Source organism: Homo sapiens, chromosome 6 (assembly GCF_000001405.40).
Source record: "Homo sapiens chromosome 6, GRCh38.p14 Primary Assembly".
Taxonomy (NCBI): Eukaryota; Metazoa; Chordata; class Mammalia; order Primates; family Hominidae; genus Homo; species Homo sapiens.
This window is the reverse complement of record NC_000006.12, coordinates 133,508,954-133,524,303: the sequence shown is the minus strand read 5'-3', so window position 1 is coordinate 133,524,303 and position 15,350 is coordinate 133,508,954. Positions and strand designations below refer to the sequence as shown.

At 36.6% G+C, this 15,350-nt stretch overlaps 1 protein-coding gene, 1 long non-coding RNA gene and 1 pseudogene across 31 annotated transcripts in view; 2 read left to right on the top strand and 1 right to left on the bottom strand.

Moving 5' to 3' along the window:
* EYA4 (EYA transcriptional coactivator and phosphatase 4) overlaps positions 1-15,350 on the bottom strand; it is a 291,536-nt gene that overhangs the window by 7,825 nt on the left and 268,361 nt on the right. For 27 of the 30 annotated variants that reach the window (XM_017010368.3, XM_047418278.1, XM_047418275.1 and 24 more), the window contains 4 exons: positions 11,525-11,583; positions 11,266-11,426; positions 8,869-8,983; positions 1,127-1,248 (listed from right to left, as the gene is read on the bottom strand). In XM_017010368.3, the coding sequence (XP_016865857.1) occupies positions 1,127-1,248; positions 8,869-8,983; positions 11,266-11,426; positions 11,525-11,583 (457 nt within the window). Of the gene's footprint in view, positions 1-1,126; positions 1,249-8,868; positions 8,984-11,265; positions 11,427-11,524; positions 11,584-15,350 lie in introns of those variants that run through there. The other 3 variants (XR_001743219.3, XR_001743220.3, XR_007059221.1) reach the window with 1 other exon arrangement.
* TARID (TCF21 antisense RNA inducing promoter demethylation) overlaps positions 1-15,350 on the top strand; it is a 386,755-nt gene that overhangs the window by 364,703 nt on the left and 6,702 nt on the right. The gene's annotated exons all lie outside the window — the stretch shown is intronic.
* On the top strand, positions 13,578-14,031 carry HSPE1P21 (heat shock protein family E (Hsp10) member 1 pseudogene 21; annotated as a pseudogene).

The following is a 15,350-nucleotide window of genomic DNA, read 5'->3' as shown; positions in this document are numbered from 1 at the left end:
TTGTTTCAGATTAAAGAATATAAGGAACTATTTCGCCAACAGAAAGAATATTGTCTTTACTAAAATAAATGTTTATTCTGCTGTAAAATTATTTGATTCATCAAAAAAGCAAAATTACCTTCTTTCTATTAGTCCTGCTGACATAAATACACACATTTAGATTAAAAATGTATGGTATTGATATCCAGGCTCTGAACTGTAGTGCTTATGACAATGTGAAATTTACTCTACGGAAGCTTGGCTCTCCTTAACTGTACTCTTGAAACAGCTGCCACTGGAGGCTCCTTTTGCCAGGGCCAACATCAGACCTCCTCAAAGCCCAGGGCAGGTTATTTTTGGTGGGGGATTTTAGGATTTTGAACTTCTCTTGTCAATGTGCCAGAGCCTAAGTTTGTTGACCTTCAAGGCATATTACACAACCCATTTATTTTCCCAAGTATTTCCTTGACAGACAGTGGAATACATCAGTTTTAAGTCTTTCAATAAGGCAGAAGTTGATGAAGTTTTGCTTTTGAATGTTTATTAGAAGTTGGAGTCTGCGAGAAATGCACTTAAAAATCAAAGATGGCTCCACAAGCAGATATCATCTAAATAAACAAGGTTGTGGTTCTTTGATTGCTACTGCACATTTTTGGAAATGCAGATTTCCAGTCGCTCATGTGTTATGAATATTCCTATTATGTTTTCTGATACATAAAACTCTTAATTTTTTTCTGTAATTAAGGGCACTCGTTCAATCCATCAAAGAATCCCCTGCAAAGCCAAAATTGTATTTTTATCTTGGATCTAGATTACTGCATATGCAAGGATGCAACATTATAAGCCAAACTAATTAAACTATTAAATACTATGGCTAGAGGTATTACATATTATTTAGATAACATGGGCTGTAATATTCTGTGAAATACAAGAATGAAATATCTATACTCAGATACTGAGTTCTTAATGTCACTAGGCAACAGTTCTCAAAAAATTCATACATGTACAATGAGTTGTAGGGGACTTTGTAATTTGAACTTTATCCAAATTTGTTTCATGTACTAAGTGAAATTGCTGAAAAAGGGAACTAGGCAGAGACACACAGATGTGGACACATTCCATACAGAGTTTAAAATAATTTCCTTACCTATTTTAGTTGCACTGTAAATATTCTCAATGGGGAAAGCACCTCCTAAACTATAGAGTAGAACCTTCGCAAGTGCTGGGATCAGTTGAGTTGTCGTTACCAAGACATTTATGCAGTTACTCCTAAAATAGGGAGGAAATATACATGTTTGTTTTCTAATACTAAATAACTTCTAATAGATTTAAAATTGTCACTGTGGTCTCTAAATTCCTTAATTAATGGTCCCTTTCAAAATTCATTACTATTGCCTATCAGCAGACAGACACTCCTCCAATAATGGCAGATTATTAAGAAGAATATACAAACCCATGACTATACTGTGATGCTTAAAGTTCTACAAAATATTTCGTCAAAACAATATGCTATTAAAAGTCATACGTAGGCAAATGTTACAAAATGTTACAGAATGAAAACATGGTAGAATGAAATAAAGCACAGGCTTTTAAAGTTTCGAGATGTGGTTTGGATATGAACTTTTGTGACTTGCACTGTGTGATATTCAGAGTTACATTTCTTTTTAAATTACAAACACTGTATATACTTGTAACAGGAAAATTTGTAAAAGACAAATATAAAGAAGAAAACAAAAAACATTAACTATTATTTAACCATCTGGAGAAAACTGCTTTCTCCATTTCATGCATTTACTTTCAGTGTTTCTGTTCATATACAGATTTTGTTTTCCCATTGGGAACATTCTGTATATTCAATTTTGTATTCTACTTTATGTATTTATATCATGAGCCTACTTGTTTATATCTATTAACTATTATTCCCCTCTCCCAACAAAACAATGTAGAGTACATACACGGTAGAGTAGTTTTATACATGTATATACTCTACACGGTAGAGTAGTTTTTATACATTGTTTTGTTGGGAGGTGGGAATAATAGTTAATAGATATAAACAAATAGCACACCAACATGGCACACGTATACATATGTAACAAGCCTGCACGTTGTGCACATGTACCCTAGAACTTAAAGTATAATTAAAAAAAAAAAAAAACTACTCTACCATGTAGATGCACCAGAATTTTTTTTTTTCCTTTTTTTTTTTATTATTATACTTTAAGTTTTAGGGTACATGTGCACATTGTGCAGGTTAGTTACATATGCATACATGTGCCATGCTGGTGCGCTGCACCCACTAACTCGTCATCTAGCATTAGGTATATCTCCCAATGCTATCCCTCCCCCCTCCCCCCACCCCACAACAGTCCCCAGAGTGTGATATTCCCCTTCCTGTGTCCATGTGATCTCATTGTTCAATTTCCACCTATGAGTGAGAATATGCAGTGTTTGGTTTTTTGTTCTTGCGATAGTTTACTGAGAATGATGATTTCCAATTTCATCCATGTCCCTACAAAGGACATGAACTCATCATTTTTTATGGCTGCATAGTATTCCATGGTGTATATGTGCCACATTTTCTTAATCCAGTCTATCATTGTTGGACATTTGGGTTGGTTCCAAGTCTTTGCTATTGTGAATAATGCCGCAATAAACATACGTGTGCATGTGTCTTTATAGCAGCATGATTTATAGTCCTTTGGGTATATACCCAGTAATGGGATGGCTGGGTCAAATGGTATTTCCAGTTCTAGATCCCTGAGGAATCGCCACACTGACTTCCACAATGGTTGAACTAGTTTACAGTCCCACTAACAGTGTAAAAGTGTTCCTATTTCTCCACATCCTCTCCAGCACCTGTTGTTTCCTGACTTTTTAATGATTGCCATTCTAACTGGTGTGAGATGGTATCTCATTGTGGTTTTGATTTGCATTTCTCTGATGGCCAGTGATGATGAGCATTTTTTCATGTGTTTTTTGGCTGCATAAATGTCTTCTTTAGAGAAGTGTCTGTTCATGTCCTTCGCCCACTTTTTGATGGGGTTGTTTGTTTTTTTCTTGTAAATTTGTTTGAGTTCATTGTAGATTCTGGATATCAGCCCTTTGTCAGATGAGTAGGTTGCGAAAATTTTCTCCCATTTTGTCAGTTGCCTGTTCACTCTGATGGTAGTTTCTTTTGCTGTGCAGAAGCTCTTTAGTTTAATTAGATCCCATTTGTCAATTTTGTCTTTTGTTGCCATTGCTTTTGGTGTTTTAGACATGAAGTCCTTGCCCATGCCTATGTCCTGAATGGTAATGCCTAGGTTTTCTTCTAGGGTTTTTATAGTTTTAGGTCTAACATTTAAGTCTTTAATCCATCTTGAATTGATTTTTGTATAAGGTGTAAGGAAGGGATCCAGTTTCAGCTTTCTACATTTGGCTAGCCAGTTGTCCCAGCACCATTTATTAAATAGGGAATCCTTTCCCCATTGCTTGTTTTTCTCAGGTTTGTCAAAGATCAGATAGTTGTAGATAGGCGGTGTTATTTCTGAGGGCGCTGTTCTGTTCCTTTGATCTATATCGCTGTTTTGGTTACTGTAGCCTTGTAGTATAGTTTGAAGTCAGGTAGTGTGATGCCTCCAGCTTTGTTCTTTTGGCTTAGGATTGACTTGGCGATGCGGGCTCTTTTTTGGTTCCATATGAACTTTAAAGTAGTTTTTTCCAATTCTGTGAAGAAAGGCATTGGTAGCTTGATGGGGATGGCATTGAATCTGTAAATTACCTTGGGCAGTATGGCCATTTTCACGATATTGATTCTTCCTACCCATGAGCATGGAATGTTCTTCCATTTGTTTGTATCCTCTTTTATTTCCTTGAGCAGTGTTTTGTAGTTCTCCTTGAAGAGGTCCTTCACATCCCTTGTAAGTTGGATTCCTAGGTATTTTATTCTCTTTGAAGCAATTGTGAATGGGAGTTCACTCATGATTTGGCTCTCTGTTTGTCTGTTGTTGGTGTATAAGAATGCTTGTGATTTTTGTACATTGATTTTGTATCCTGAGACTTTGCTGAAGTTGCTTATCAGCTTAAGGAGATTTTGGGCTGAGACAATGGGGTTTTCTAGATATACAATCATGTCGTCTGCAAAGAGGGACAATTTGACTTCCTCTTTTCCTAATTGAATACCCTTTCTTTCTTTCTCCTGCCTAATTGCCCTGGCCAGAACTTCCAACACTATGTTGAATAGGAGTGGTGAGAGAGGGCATCCCTGTCTTGTGCCAGTTTTCAAAGGGAACGCTTCCAGTTTTTGCCCATTCAGTATGATATTGGCTGTGGGTTTGTCATAGATAGCTCTTATTATTTTGAAATACGTCCCATCAATTGAGAGTTTTTAGCATGAAGGGTTGTTGAATTTTGTCAAAGGCTTTTTCTGCATCTATTGAGATAATCATGTGGTTTTTGTCTTTGGCTCTGTTTATATGCTGGATTACATTTATTGATTTGCATATATTGAACCAGCCTTGCATCCCAGGGATGAAGCCCATTTGATCATGGTGGATAAGCTTTTTGATGTGCTGCTGGATTCGTTTTGCCAGTATTTTATTGAGGATTTTTGCATCAATGTTCATCAAGGATATTGGTCTAAAATTCTCTTTTTTTGTTGTGTCTCTGCCTGGCTTTGGTATCAGAATGATGCTGGCCTCATAAAATGAGTTAGAGAGGATTCCCTCTTTTTCTATTGATTGGAATAGTTTCAGAAGGAATGGTACCAGTTCCTCCTTGTACCTCTGGTAGAATTCGGCTGTGAATCCATCTGGTCCTGGACTCTTTTTGGTTGGTAAGCTATGGATTATTGCCACAATTTCAGATCCTGTTATTGGTCTATTCAGAGATTCAACTTCTTCCTGGTTTAGTCTTGGGAGAGTGTATGTGTCGAGGAATGTATCCATTTCTTCTAGATTTTCTAGTTTATTTGCGTAGAGGTGTTTGTAGTATTCTGATGGTAGTTTGTATTTCTGTGGGATTGGTGGTGATATCCCCTTTATCATTTTTTATTGCGTCTATTTGATTCTTCTCTCTTTTTTTCTTTATTAGTCTTGCTAGCGGTCTATCAATTTTGTTGATCCTTTCAAAAAACCAGCTCCTGGATTCATTAATTTTTTGAAGGTTTTTTTGTGTCTCTATTTCCTTCAGTTCTGCTCTGATTTTAGTTATTTCTTGCCTTCTGCTAGCTTTTGAATGTGTTTGCTCTTGCTTTTCTAGTTCTTTTAATTGCGATGTTAGGGTGTCAATTTTGGATCTTTCCTGCTTTCTCTTGTGGGCATTTAGTGCTATAAATTTCCCTCTACACACTGCTTTGAATGCGTCCCAGAGATTCTGGTATGTTGTGTCTTTGTTCTCGTTGGTTTCAAAGAACATCTTTATTTCTGCCTTCATTTCGTTATGTACCCAGTAGTCATTCAGGAGCAGGTTGTTCAGTTTCCATGTAGTTGAGCGGTTTCGAGTGAGATTCTTAATCCTGAGTTCTAGTTTGATTGCACTGTGGTCTGAGAGATAGTCTGTTATAATTTCTGTTCTTTTACATTTGCTGAGGAGAGCTTTACTTCCAAGTATGTGGTCAATTTTGGAATAGGTGTGGTGTGGGATGCACCAGAATTTTTTAGAGTTAAATTGAGTTGCTTAAGTGGCTTTTGATTTCTAAATATTACAAGTAATGCTACCAAAATATATTCTTACATCTTTCGTTATTCTGAGACTATATTCACAGAATAATTAGGGTCAGAGGGTAAGTTAATTTTGCTAGGGGTTCTACTACATAATTCAACAAAGCATCTGTTTTTCTGACATTCCAGGCATTTTGTGAAAACTATTGGGTTGGTGCAAAAGCAATTTTGTTTTTTGCCATTAAAAGTAATGGCAAAACTGCAATTGTATCAATATGGTAATATATGTGGATAACTCAGCAAATTCCATAGCATGTAACTACTCAATGTATGTTGATTTCTTTTTCTCCTCCCTTCCTTGTTATATCTTTATTTATTTCTGGAATATCACATATTCCTTTAGTTGCCTTAAAGCCATCTGTTTAATAATTAATCTGTATATATTATATAGTATATATAATCTAATAATGTAATCATCTTTTTTAACTTATATAGAAGACATCTTTTAGAAATAATGAAAGCTATCAACCTCCTTCTCAGAGAAATGCACACTCCACTACATTTTACACATCATGTCAGTGGCTCAGGGGTCCTCGTGCTCCAGCGTCCCTGACATTTGGTCTCTCTTGTCACCAATTACAGAGGACATGAGATAGCAAGTCCCATTTCAACTGGTTTAGACATTTCTTCCTTATATAGAGCCAGAATCTCCCTTGCAGGATTCCTACTCATTGGTCCCAGTTCTTTCCTTTCCAGACACAGGGAGAAATCTAATTGATTTTCAGCCTAACGTCTGAAACAGGTGAAATTGGTAATCTTGGTTCTGCACATGACTCTTCTGACTAAGCTCTCTGGCTCCTCCTTCCATCTGTTTCTTTTAGGTGGTTCCCACAGTCCAAACCCGTGACTGCCACACTTGACACAGGCTGCTTCAACCCTGCCACAGCCCCCACTGGAATATGGTCCCTAGAACTGACAAACTAAGCTGCCATGGCTTCCCCAGTCAGACACAGGAAGCTACTTCCCCTCCGCTCTCCATTTGGACTTTCTGCTATCCATGCAGCTCTGCCTGTGCCACGAGTCAGAAGCTGTGCAGGATGTGACAACTATTCATTTACTTTCATGTTCTTAATATTAACTTTTTTTTTTTTTGCCCTGTCAGGCTTTTCTGCATTCTGATTCAATTAGTCCAAATAAATCTTTCTCTGAATGCTGTGTTCCCCATACATTTATTAAGCATGCTTTTTTCTTCTTTTTTTAAAACTAACAATTTGTCATCTTATTCATTGATCTTTTCTTTTCCAACTTTTATTTTAAGTTCAGGGGTACAAGGGCAGGTTGGTTACATAGGTTAACTTGTGTCATGGGGGGTTGTTGTACAGATTATTTCATCATCCAGGTATTAAGCCTAATACCCATTTTTCTTTTTGCTGATCCTCTCCCTCCTTCTATTCTCCACCCTCTGGAAGGCCCCAGTGTGTGTTGTTCCCCTCTATGTGTCCACATGTTCTCATCATTTAGCTCTCACTTGTAAGTGAGAACATGCGGCATTTGGTGGGAGTGTAAATTAGTTCAGCCATTGTGGAAGGCAGTGTGGCGAATCCTCAAAGATCTAAAGACAAAACTACTATTTAACCCAGCAATCCCAGTACTGGGTATATACCCAAAGGCATATAAATCATTTTATAATAAAGACACATGCACACACATGTTCACTGCAGCACTATTCACAATAGCAAAGACATGGAGTCAACCTAACTGTGCATCAATGATAGACTGGATAAAGAAAATGTGGTACATGTACACCATGGAATACTATGCAGCCATAAAGAAGAATGAGATCATGTCCTTTGCCAGGACATGGATGGAGCTGGAGGCCATTATCCTTAACAAACTAACACAGGAACAAAAAAGCAAATACTGCACGTTCTCATTAATCTTTTCTTTACTTTTTTTTTTTTTTGAGACAGAGTCTTGCTCTGTCTCCAGGCTGGAGTACAGTAGCATGATCTCAGCTCAGTGTAACCTCCGCCTCCCAGGTTCAAGCAACTCTCCTGCCTCAGCCTCCCGAGTAGCTGGGACTACAGGTGTGCACCACCACGACCAGCTAATTTTGTTTTTTTTTTTTTGTATTTTTAGTAGAGATGGGGTTTCACCATGTTGGCTAGGGTGGTCTCAATCTCCTGACCTCGTGATCCACCTGCCTCGGCCTCCCAAAGTGCTGGGATTATAGGCATGAGCCACTGCGCCTGACCCATTAATCTTTTCTTAATGGAAATGCTGACAGATTCTTTTTTTTTGACTTTTATTTTAGGTGCAGGGATACATGTGCATGTTTGCTATATAGGTCACGGGGTTTTGCTATACAGATTATTTTATCACTCAGGTACTAAGTCTAGTACCTAACAGTTACTCTTTCTGATTCTCTCCCTCCTCCTACCCTTCACCCTCAAGTAGGCCCCAGTGTCTGTTGTTTCCCTATATGTGTCCATGAGTTCTCATCATTTAGCTCCCACTTATTAAGCATGCTTTTATTTATTCACCTAACTCAGATATAAAATAATGGAAGCGGACAGTACAGAGATTCAACTCTACCTTACCAGCTATCACGTTCCAGACTTACTTACATCACTTTATGAATTAGCATATTTGGCACCTGGTTGTACAACTGGTTACAAATCAATTTAATTCTGCTCTGTATACTGACACAAGTCAGAATTTCACTGTTTAGTTCAAACAACAAAATGGTTAGAATTTTTTCAAGAGCTTTCTCCTGCTTTTCTGATGTGCTTACATTATGTGTATTATCCATTATGGCCTAACACCTAAAACATGCCTTTTTGTATCAACAGTACTGTTTCATATTTGCCATCACCCCCTTGTACTTTGCCACCAACTGAGTTCTCTTTCTTTTTTCATTAGAAGTCATGTAACCATTCTGTGGGGATTATCAGTTGCTATGAGAAGAGATGGGTGGTGAGATAGGGTCTCCTGTTTATTCTGAGAAGCAGCAACCTTCTCTCATCCCAACACACACACACACACACACACACACACACACACTCACACACACACTCTCTCTCTCTCTCTCTCATGCACATGCACTGAAATTGAAAAAATCACTGAACTCAGAATTGTTAGGTCCCTTAAAGTCTAAAACAGTCTAGGAATTAAAACATTTTTTCTATGTTGTACAATTAGAACTAAATCTTCAATACGATACACATAGAAAGGTAACAATTCCACTTACCTAGTGCTAATAATTGATAAAGACTTAAGTGCATTTGTTAGCCAGGAATCTGTCAGACCTTCAATCTCTGCCCTTAACTGTAGCCAGGCATCCCTCTTGGCAGGGCCAAGGAGTCCTGCAACACCAAAAAACCAAGGCAGAGTCGAGAGATGAATATTGTCTCAGAATATCTAGTTTAGATTCCCTTCTGTCTGGAATAGATCATTTTTATTTCAGTATATATCAGAAATGCAGAGAGATACAGATTTATGTCCATATTGATCCTTCGTTTCTGAATTGAATATCCATTGATTCCGTCAATGAATATTTACTGAACTTCTAGGTCTCAGGTAGTGCCACTGAAAAGTGGCCCCAGTCTCTGCCCTCACTGATCCTACAATCTAGCGCAGTGGATCTCAATCATCTAAAGAGCTTTGAACATGCCCCTGCCTGGATCTTATTCCAAGGGACTGTGATATTTGAGGTCTGGAGGAATAGTTGGGCTTCACCAACCTAGGGACACAAATCCCAAATGTTTTGACTGTCTGAAAACGTTTAGCTTCTTAATAATCACAATCATTTCCACTTTCAAACAGTAACAATGGCATCATCATATGTAGCTGTTAAAATGTTTCTAATACTACTGCTAATGCTACTATAAATACTTTGCTATGTAAAAAATTAATAATTTTGTTTAAAATCATGAAGTGTAGGACAGTTACAATCATGAATTATAATATTGATGTTAAAAGAAAAAAGATAGATGTGCTAATTTTTTATTTTAAAAGATCCAGTTCTTGCTTTTATGATAAAACAAGATCATGTAAATCCATTAAAAAGGAAGGTTTCTTATTGAAATTGTGTTTTAGAATATCGGGAGCACATACACACTTGTATGGTTTTTTCAATCAAAATTTACAGTTTCTAGCAAGTCTCATTTGTCCTCATTATAATAGAGAGATGCTCACGTATGACAGAAAGTAGACTCGTGGTTGTTTAAAGTTTCTAAGATACAAGATTACTTCTTAGTCTTCTTGTTAACTTAAAATAATTTTATTAATACACCGCAAGAAGGAAATGATGACATCTGAATGATAAAAATTAACTCAGATTTCCCAAGGGGATATTTATTTTAAAGTTAAAACATATTATCTACCATTGATTTTAACTAGAAAATCTACTTATTTGATTTTACAAAAGCATCATGTACAGAGCACTAGAGCAAATCAGGAAATCAGAGATTCTCCCCAGCACCCCATGCAAGTCGGCAGCTTGCAGGGGTCAATTTCTTTTTGGAAATGAATGTCTTCCATATCTAAGCTCCCTTTTGTTGCTAACATTATTATCCTCTTTGGCTCTACATTTTTTGTTCTCTTACAGTTATTATGTATCTGTTGAGCATCTCTTATGTGTTTCACTGCTAGGCACTGGGGATACAAGGTGACCAGACACATAGCCCCACCCTCATGATGTATATGGATATATGTGATTATATACTATATATGAACATTTTATTTACTATATTGTATTCTATGATATATATGTGAATATATGTATGTATAGTATGCACATGTATATTTAGTATATTGGATTCTAGTTTATGTTCCTCAATTACTCTTCCTTTTTAGAAAAAAAGAGAAGCACATAAAGAAACAAAATCCTGGGAGATTAATCTGATGTGACCTAATAGCAAATTTTAGGAATCTTGTTTACCTAAAATTGATTCTAATAAGATATCACCAAGGTTTATTTTATATATAGAAGCACATCCAGGATCACAGTTTTGATAGCAAAGGTTTTGATATCACCTGTAAAATATATGAAGGGGTATAAAATGGTTTTGATATTACCTACAGATTATTTGAACTTTTAAAAACTATGATAATCATAGTTGACACTATGCATGAGAATGATACACTGACATAAAACATGATTTTTTTAAAAGATAAAATAAACCTGTTGAAAGTCTTTGAAATGACATTAATAACTGTTTATATTTATTTTTGATGGGATTCCAGAAAGATAATGCTTGCTAACCACCGTCCTTCAATGATTGAGGCTCTCTACTTGAGAAAGGACTTCTTTCTGTTGCCTCGGTTAGTTCCTCTGTCTGATTTTCACTGATAATGCTCCAAGCACCAGCTGATAAAGGGTCAACTAAATGCCCTGGTATAAATCTTGACCAAACATCTGGGCACAAGGTTACACAAAGAATTCCCAATTTATGTGACGGTGGTGCATGTTTTATTTTGTAGTTAAATTTTTTCCCACCAATTCTAAGAAACTTCTGGCTCAATGTGGTTTAATATGAGCTTTTGCTTGTTTCTTTTACAGCAGAATCATCTTTAACATGAAACTACAGATTGAATTCTACCTATACCCAGAGTACCTTTGTTAGATTGAAAAAGCCACACATACCTCCAACGTTGTTCTTGTAGGTGTTATATAATTCTTTTACTCTTCTGTAACGAAAAGCCAACTTCCTCATCCAGTCAACCCCTCCTCTTACACCTGTTGGCAAACAAAGGTTTGCACTACTTGCAGCTGCATGGAAGCCATCAGTTGCAAAACTGTAGGTACTGTAACACCCAAAATACATTAAAAAGAAATAATTACATGTGCAAAACTCCACAGCCGAATTTCTGTAGGAAACAGCATACTGAAAGGCATAGCTTACCTTAAGTCCTGCCCATTATCATCAGAGGAAACATCATCTATATGAACTTGATCACACTCCTGTTAAAAACATTGGAAAAGTTATTTGTTTTCTAAATGATGCTTGTTACCATGCTTGAAGGTTTTCCCATCTTCTCATCTGATCAGACTACCACCAGAAGATGGCAGCATGTGCCCGTCCATCTCATTGCCTCACTCTTGTTTTCTTCTGTTGGGAAATGGCACCATTTCTACCCCACAAAATTTAAATCCAGAAGAGTTCCATAGAAAGGAGGGGTGAGAAAATATACGGCATGAGAGTTTCTTTAGAGCAATTTAAAAATTTTAATCTTAAAATTATTGATAAGAAATTCTCTTGAATCTTCATAAGCATTTGAGTTCCCTTCCAGGCCATTTCTGTTGTGCATACTTAAGCATGGCTAATCTGAAGATACACAAAACTTAGTCTGAACACCTCAGATGGTTACTATTATTTATCATTTGTTGAGTGGCAACAGAGGGGCTTGCCTTCAGATTATGGTGTCCTGTGGAATTTCCATGACTTCCTGCTGGACCAGAACCATGAAAGAACCATGCTGGTGTTATTTCAAGGTCCTAGTCTTTTGACACAGAAAAAGGGTAATGATCATAGATATTGACATTTTCTTTTTGTCAAGTTTTTAAATTTTCAAATCAAAAAGACTACTTTTAAGTAAAAGGGAAATAATGACGATTTATCATCTCAAATGTGCTACAAAATTCCAAGCAAAATAAACTTTATGTAAGTATACCCACACAATTGACCTGATTTTTTTTTTTTTTATATGGAATCTCACTTAGTCGCCCAGGTTGGAGTGCAGTGGCGCGATCTCGGCTCACTGCAAGCTCTGCCTCCTGGGTTCACGCCATTCTCCTGCCTCAGCCTCCCGAGTAGCTGGGACTACAGGCGCCCGCCACCACGCCTGGCTAATTTTTTTGTGTTTTTTGTATTTTTACTAGAGATGATGTTTTACTGTGTTAGCCAGGATGGTCTCGATCTCCTGACCTTGTGATCCGCCTGTTTCGGCCTCCCAAAGTGCTGGGATTACAGGTGTGAGCCACCACGCCCGGCCACAGTTGACCTGATTGTAAGTTACTGTGTGCTCAGAACAAATGGTAACTTATGTGGATAAGGATTTGATCCTTCTTTGCTGTTCTGAGTCTTAGTCCATCTTCAAATAATCTGCAAAGTTCCAGCGCAATATTACAAGATCTAAAGGTGAAATTTGGTGAGGGCATTTAAAATGCCTAGTTCTCAGAATAATAAATATATAATAAATAAAAATAAATTATTTATAATAAATAACTACATCATATTAACCTCAGAGTAAGTATGGTTTAGCATCTTGGGCCTCCTTAGTCCCCCTCAAAGTATTTTACTCATACTTACAGCTTCTGACTATATACATAGTGCTTAGCATTCAAAATTAATTTTTAAAAAAAATCATTAAATTTGAAAATACACCATACTAAACAAAGGTTTTTTGAAAGCTACTATTTATATTCATTATTGGGCTTGAAAGTATCTGGCAGTCAAATATTTCATACCTAGTCTCCAGATTTCCACACAGAAAGTGTTTAATCCGGTTCCAGTTTAAAGGTATAGTTGACTCAGGCTTCCTTTAATATACAAAACTCAGTGACTAGCCCAATCAGTACCTTCTGAGTATGTAACTTGAAAATCCAGGTAAGTTAAAAGTTCATATAATTTACAGAAATTACAGGGTTAGTAAGTTTTGAATAAATCTCCACCTACACGTATGGGTCCCCAAATTTAATCTGACTGGAAGTGCCCTGGAGTGCGGCATTTGGTTCACCAGGTTACATCCCCACTTACGGCACAATCTAGCATAGAATAATCACTCCACAATTCTTTCTTAAATAAATGGGAGAAGTCTAGACAAATGCTAATTCTTTACAGGATTACCACAATCATTTAAATTTTCTAACACAAGGTTACGATGATATAAAATAAAAGCATTCTAAATGGTGAGGAGAGTAAGAAGATATTTATGTCAAGAGTGGAAGGAAGGGAGAGAGAAGAGTGCAGAGACTGCCCAAGGAATGGCCTGGCCGGACAGGTATTTAGAAAATGTCTTCCCCTCTTTGACCAAGTATTGGCTGAAAGGAGTGCAGTCCAAACTGTAACCAAAGGAGGCATTATGCTTCCTGAAAAACATCCAGTAAAGGCATTGCAAGCAATGATAGTAACTGCTGGACTGGGCTTTAAGGAAAAGAGTGGAGAGATTTTACCCATTAGCATAAGGGTTGGAAATAAAGTTTTTCTCCCAGAATATGGAGGCACCAAAGTAGTTCTAAATGATGAGATTATTTCTTATTTAGAGATGGTGACATACTTGGAAAGTCCGTAGACTGAAATAAATCACTATTGAAATGGTGTCACATGAAGTTGCCCATTCCATTGAAGCTCTGAAATCTTTCCACATGTAAATAACTTCTGTGTTTCTCTTTTATAATAAATTAATGACATTCAAAAAAGTGGAGGAATCCTTGTAAATTTCCCTGGTAATCAGAAGTTATTTCTCTATTTAATATCCTCTCATTGTAATTTTTAGAGAAATTCCTCTGACATTAAATATTAACTCGCATGATTAATTTGTACATAGGTTGCCCAAAAACTTATCTTTTACTCCTGAGGACAACAGTATATCACACTTATTGGACCATAAGCTCCATAATTGAGGTTATATTTGAGGTTTTTCCAAATTTAACTTTTCTTTAAATTTATGCCTAGTTAACTATGCCTGTTGACTCTGGACGGTTGCCTGAGGATTACGGTCCAGTGAAAGAAACCTGAACTTCCATTATTTACATTTTTAGAAAAAGCTAAATAATTGTCCTTCAATTATTTTTCACTCTGAGAAACTTTGTAAGAATCATTTTGACCAAAAAGTGAAATACTAAAAACACTGTAATGTTTTGGCTTTAACAAATTTTAATAAAACTCAAACATTTGAAAATATTCTAGAACTAACTTTAAATACTTTAATTTTGTCTCACAAAGTGACCAAAAAGTGGTCACTGATATTTATCAGTTATAATTCACAGCAGTCTTTTCTCACCTTTGCCATCTCAAACTTCCTGAGACTTCTTTTCTGGAGGTTATTCTAACCGAAATAGCACTTTATTTAAACACACAGGATTCTCTTCTGTTGGGGGAGGGTAGTTTGGGCATCTGCCTTCTCTGCAGTTGGGCAGGATGCAGTGAAGTGTCTATTAGGAGGATTTAAATTTGTATCTTTTAAGGAATTATGTGAGGAACAGCTGCTACTATATATGTTGCAGTATCTACTGAAAGAATGGAGTGTCAAATTAGATGGTTCGGTTTTTTTTTTTTTTTTAAGAAAAGCACCCTGAGAGCTTAAATATTCAACATCAACAATGACAACATAATAAGCTAATGTTAGAGTTACTCTCTTGAGGAATTCTTTTTGTCAACAAGAGTAGAAATCATTTAATTCCAGTTATGGAGCCCAAGACAATTTTTGGCTGTAAGAGGTTTATTGAAATAAAAAGTTGTGTGAAAGTAAAACTGCCTTTCAAAGTCAGATGCAGAAGGATAGGGCGCTATGTATGTAACTGTACTGAATGCTTTTGAAAGCTACTGTTTTGATTCTATTGGTTTTAGTGCTTGTTTACTCAAGTCAGTAAAAATCATTTATGTTTCCTTGGGCACTTTATCTGGATGTGCAAGCATTTGTGTGGCACGCATATACAGTGAGAGTTCAATTTATCTGCAGAAACTCAATTATTTTATTGATTAAGTACAGTATTGTTGAATAGCTAAG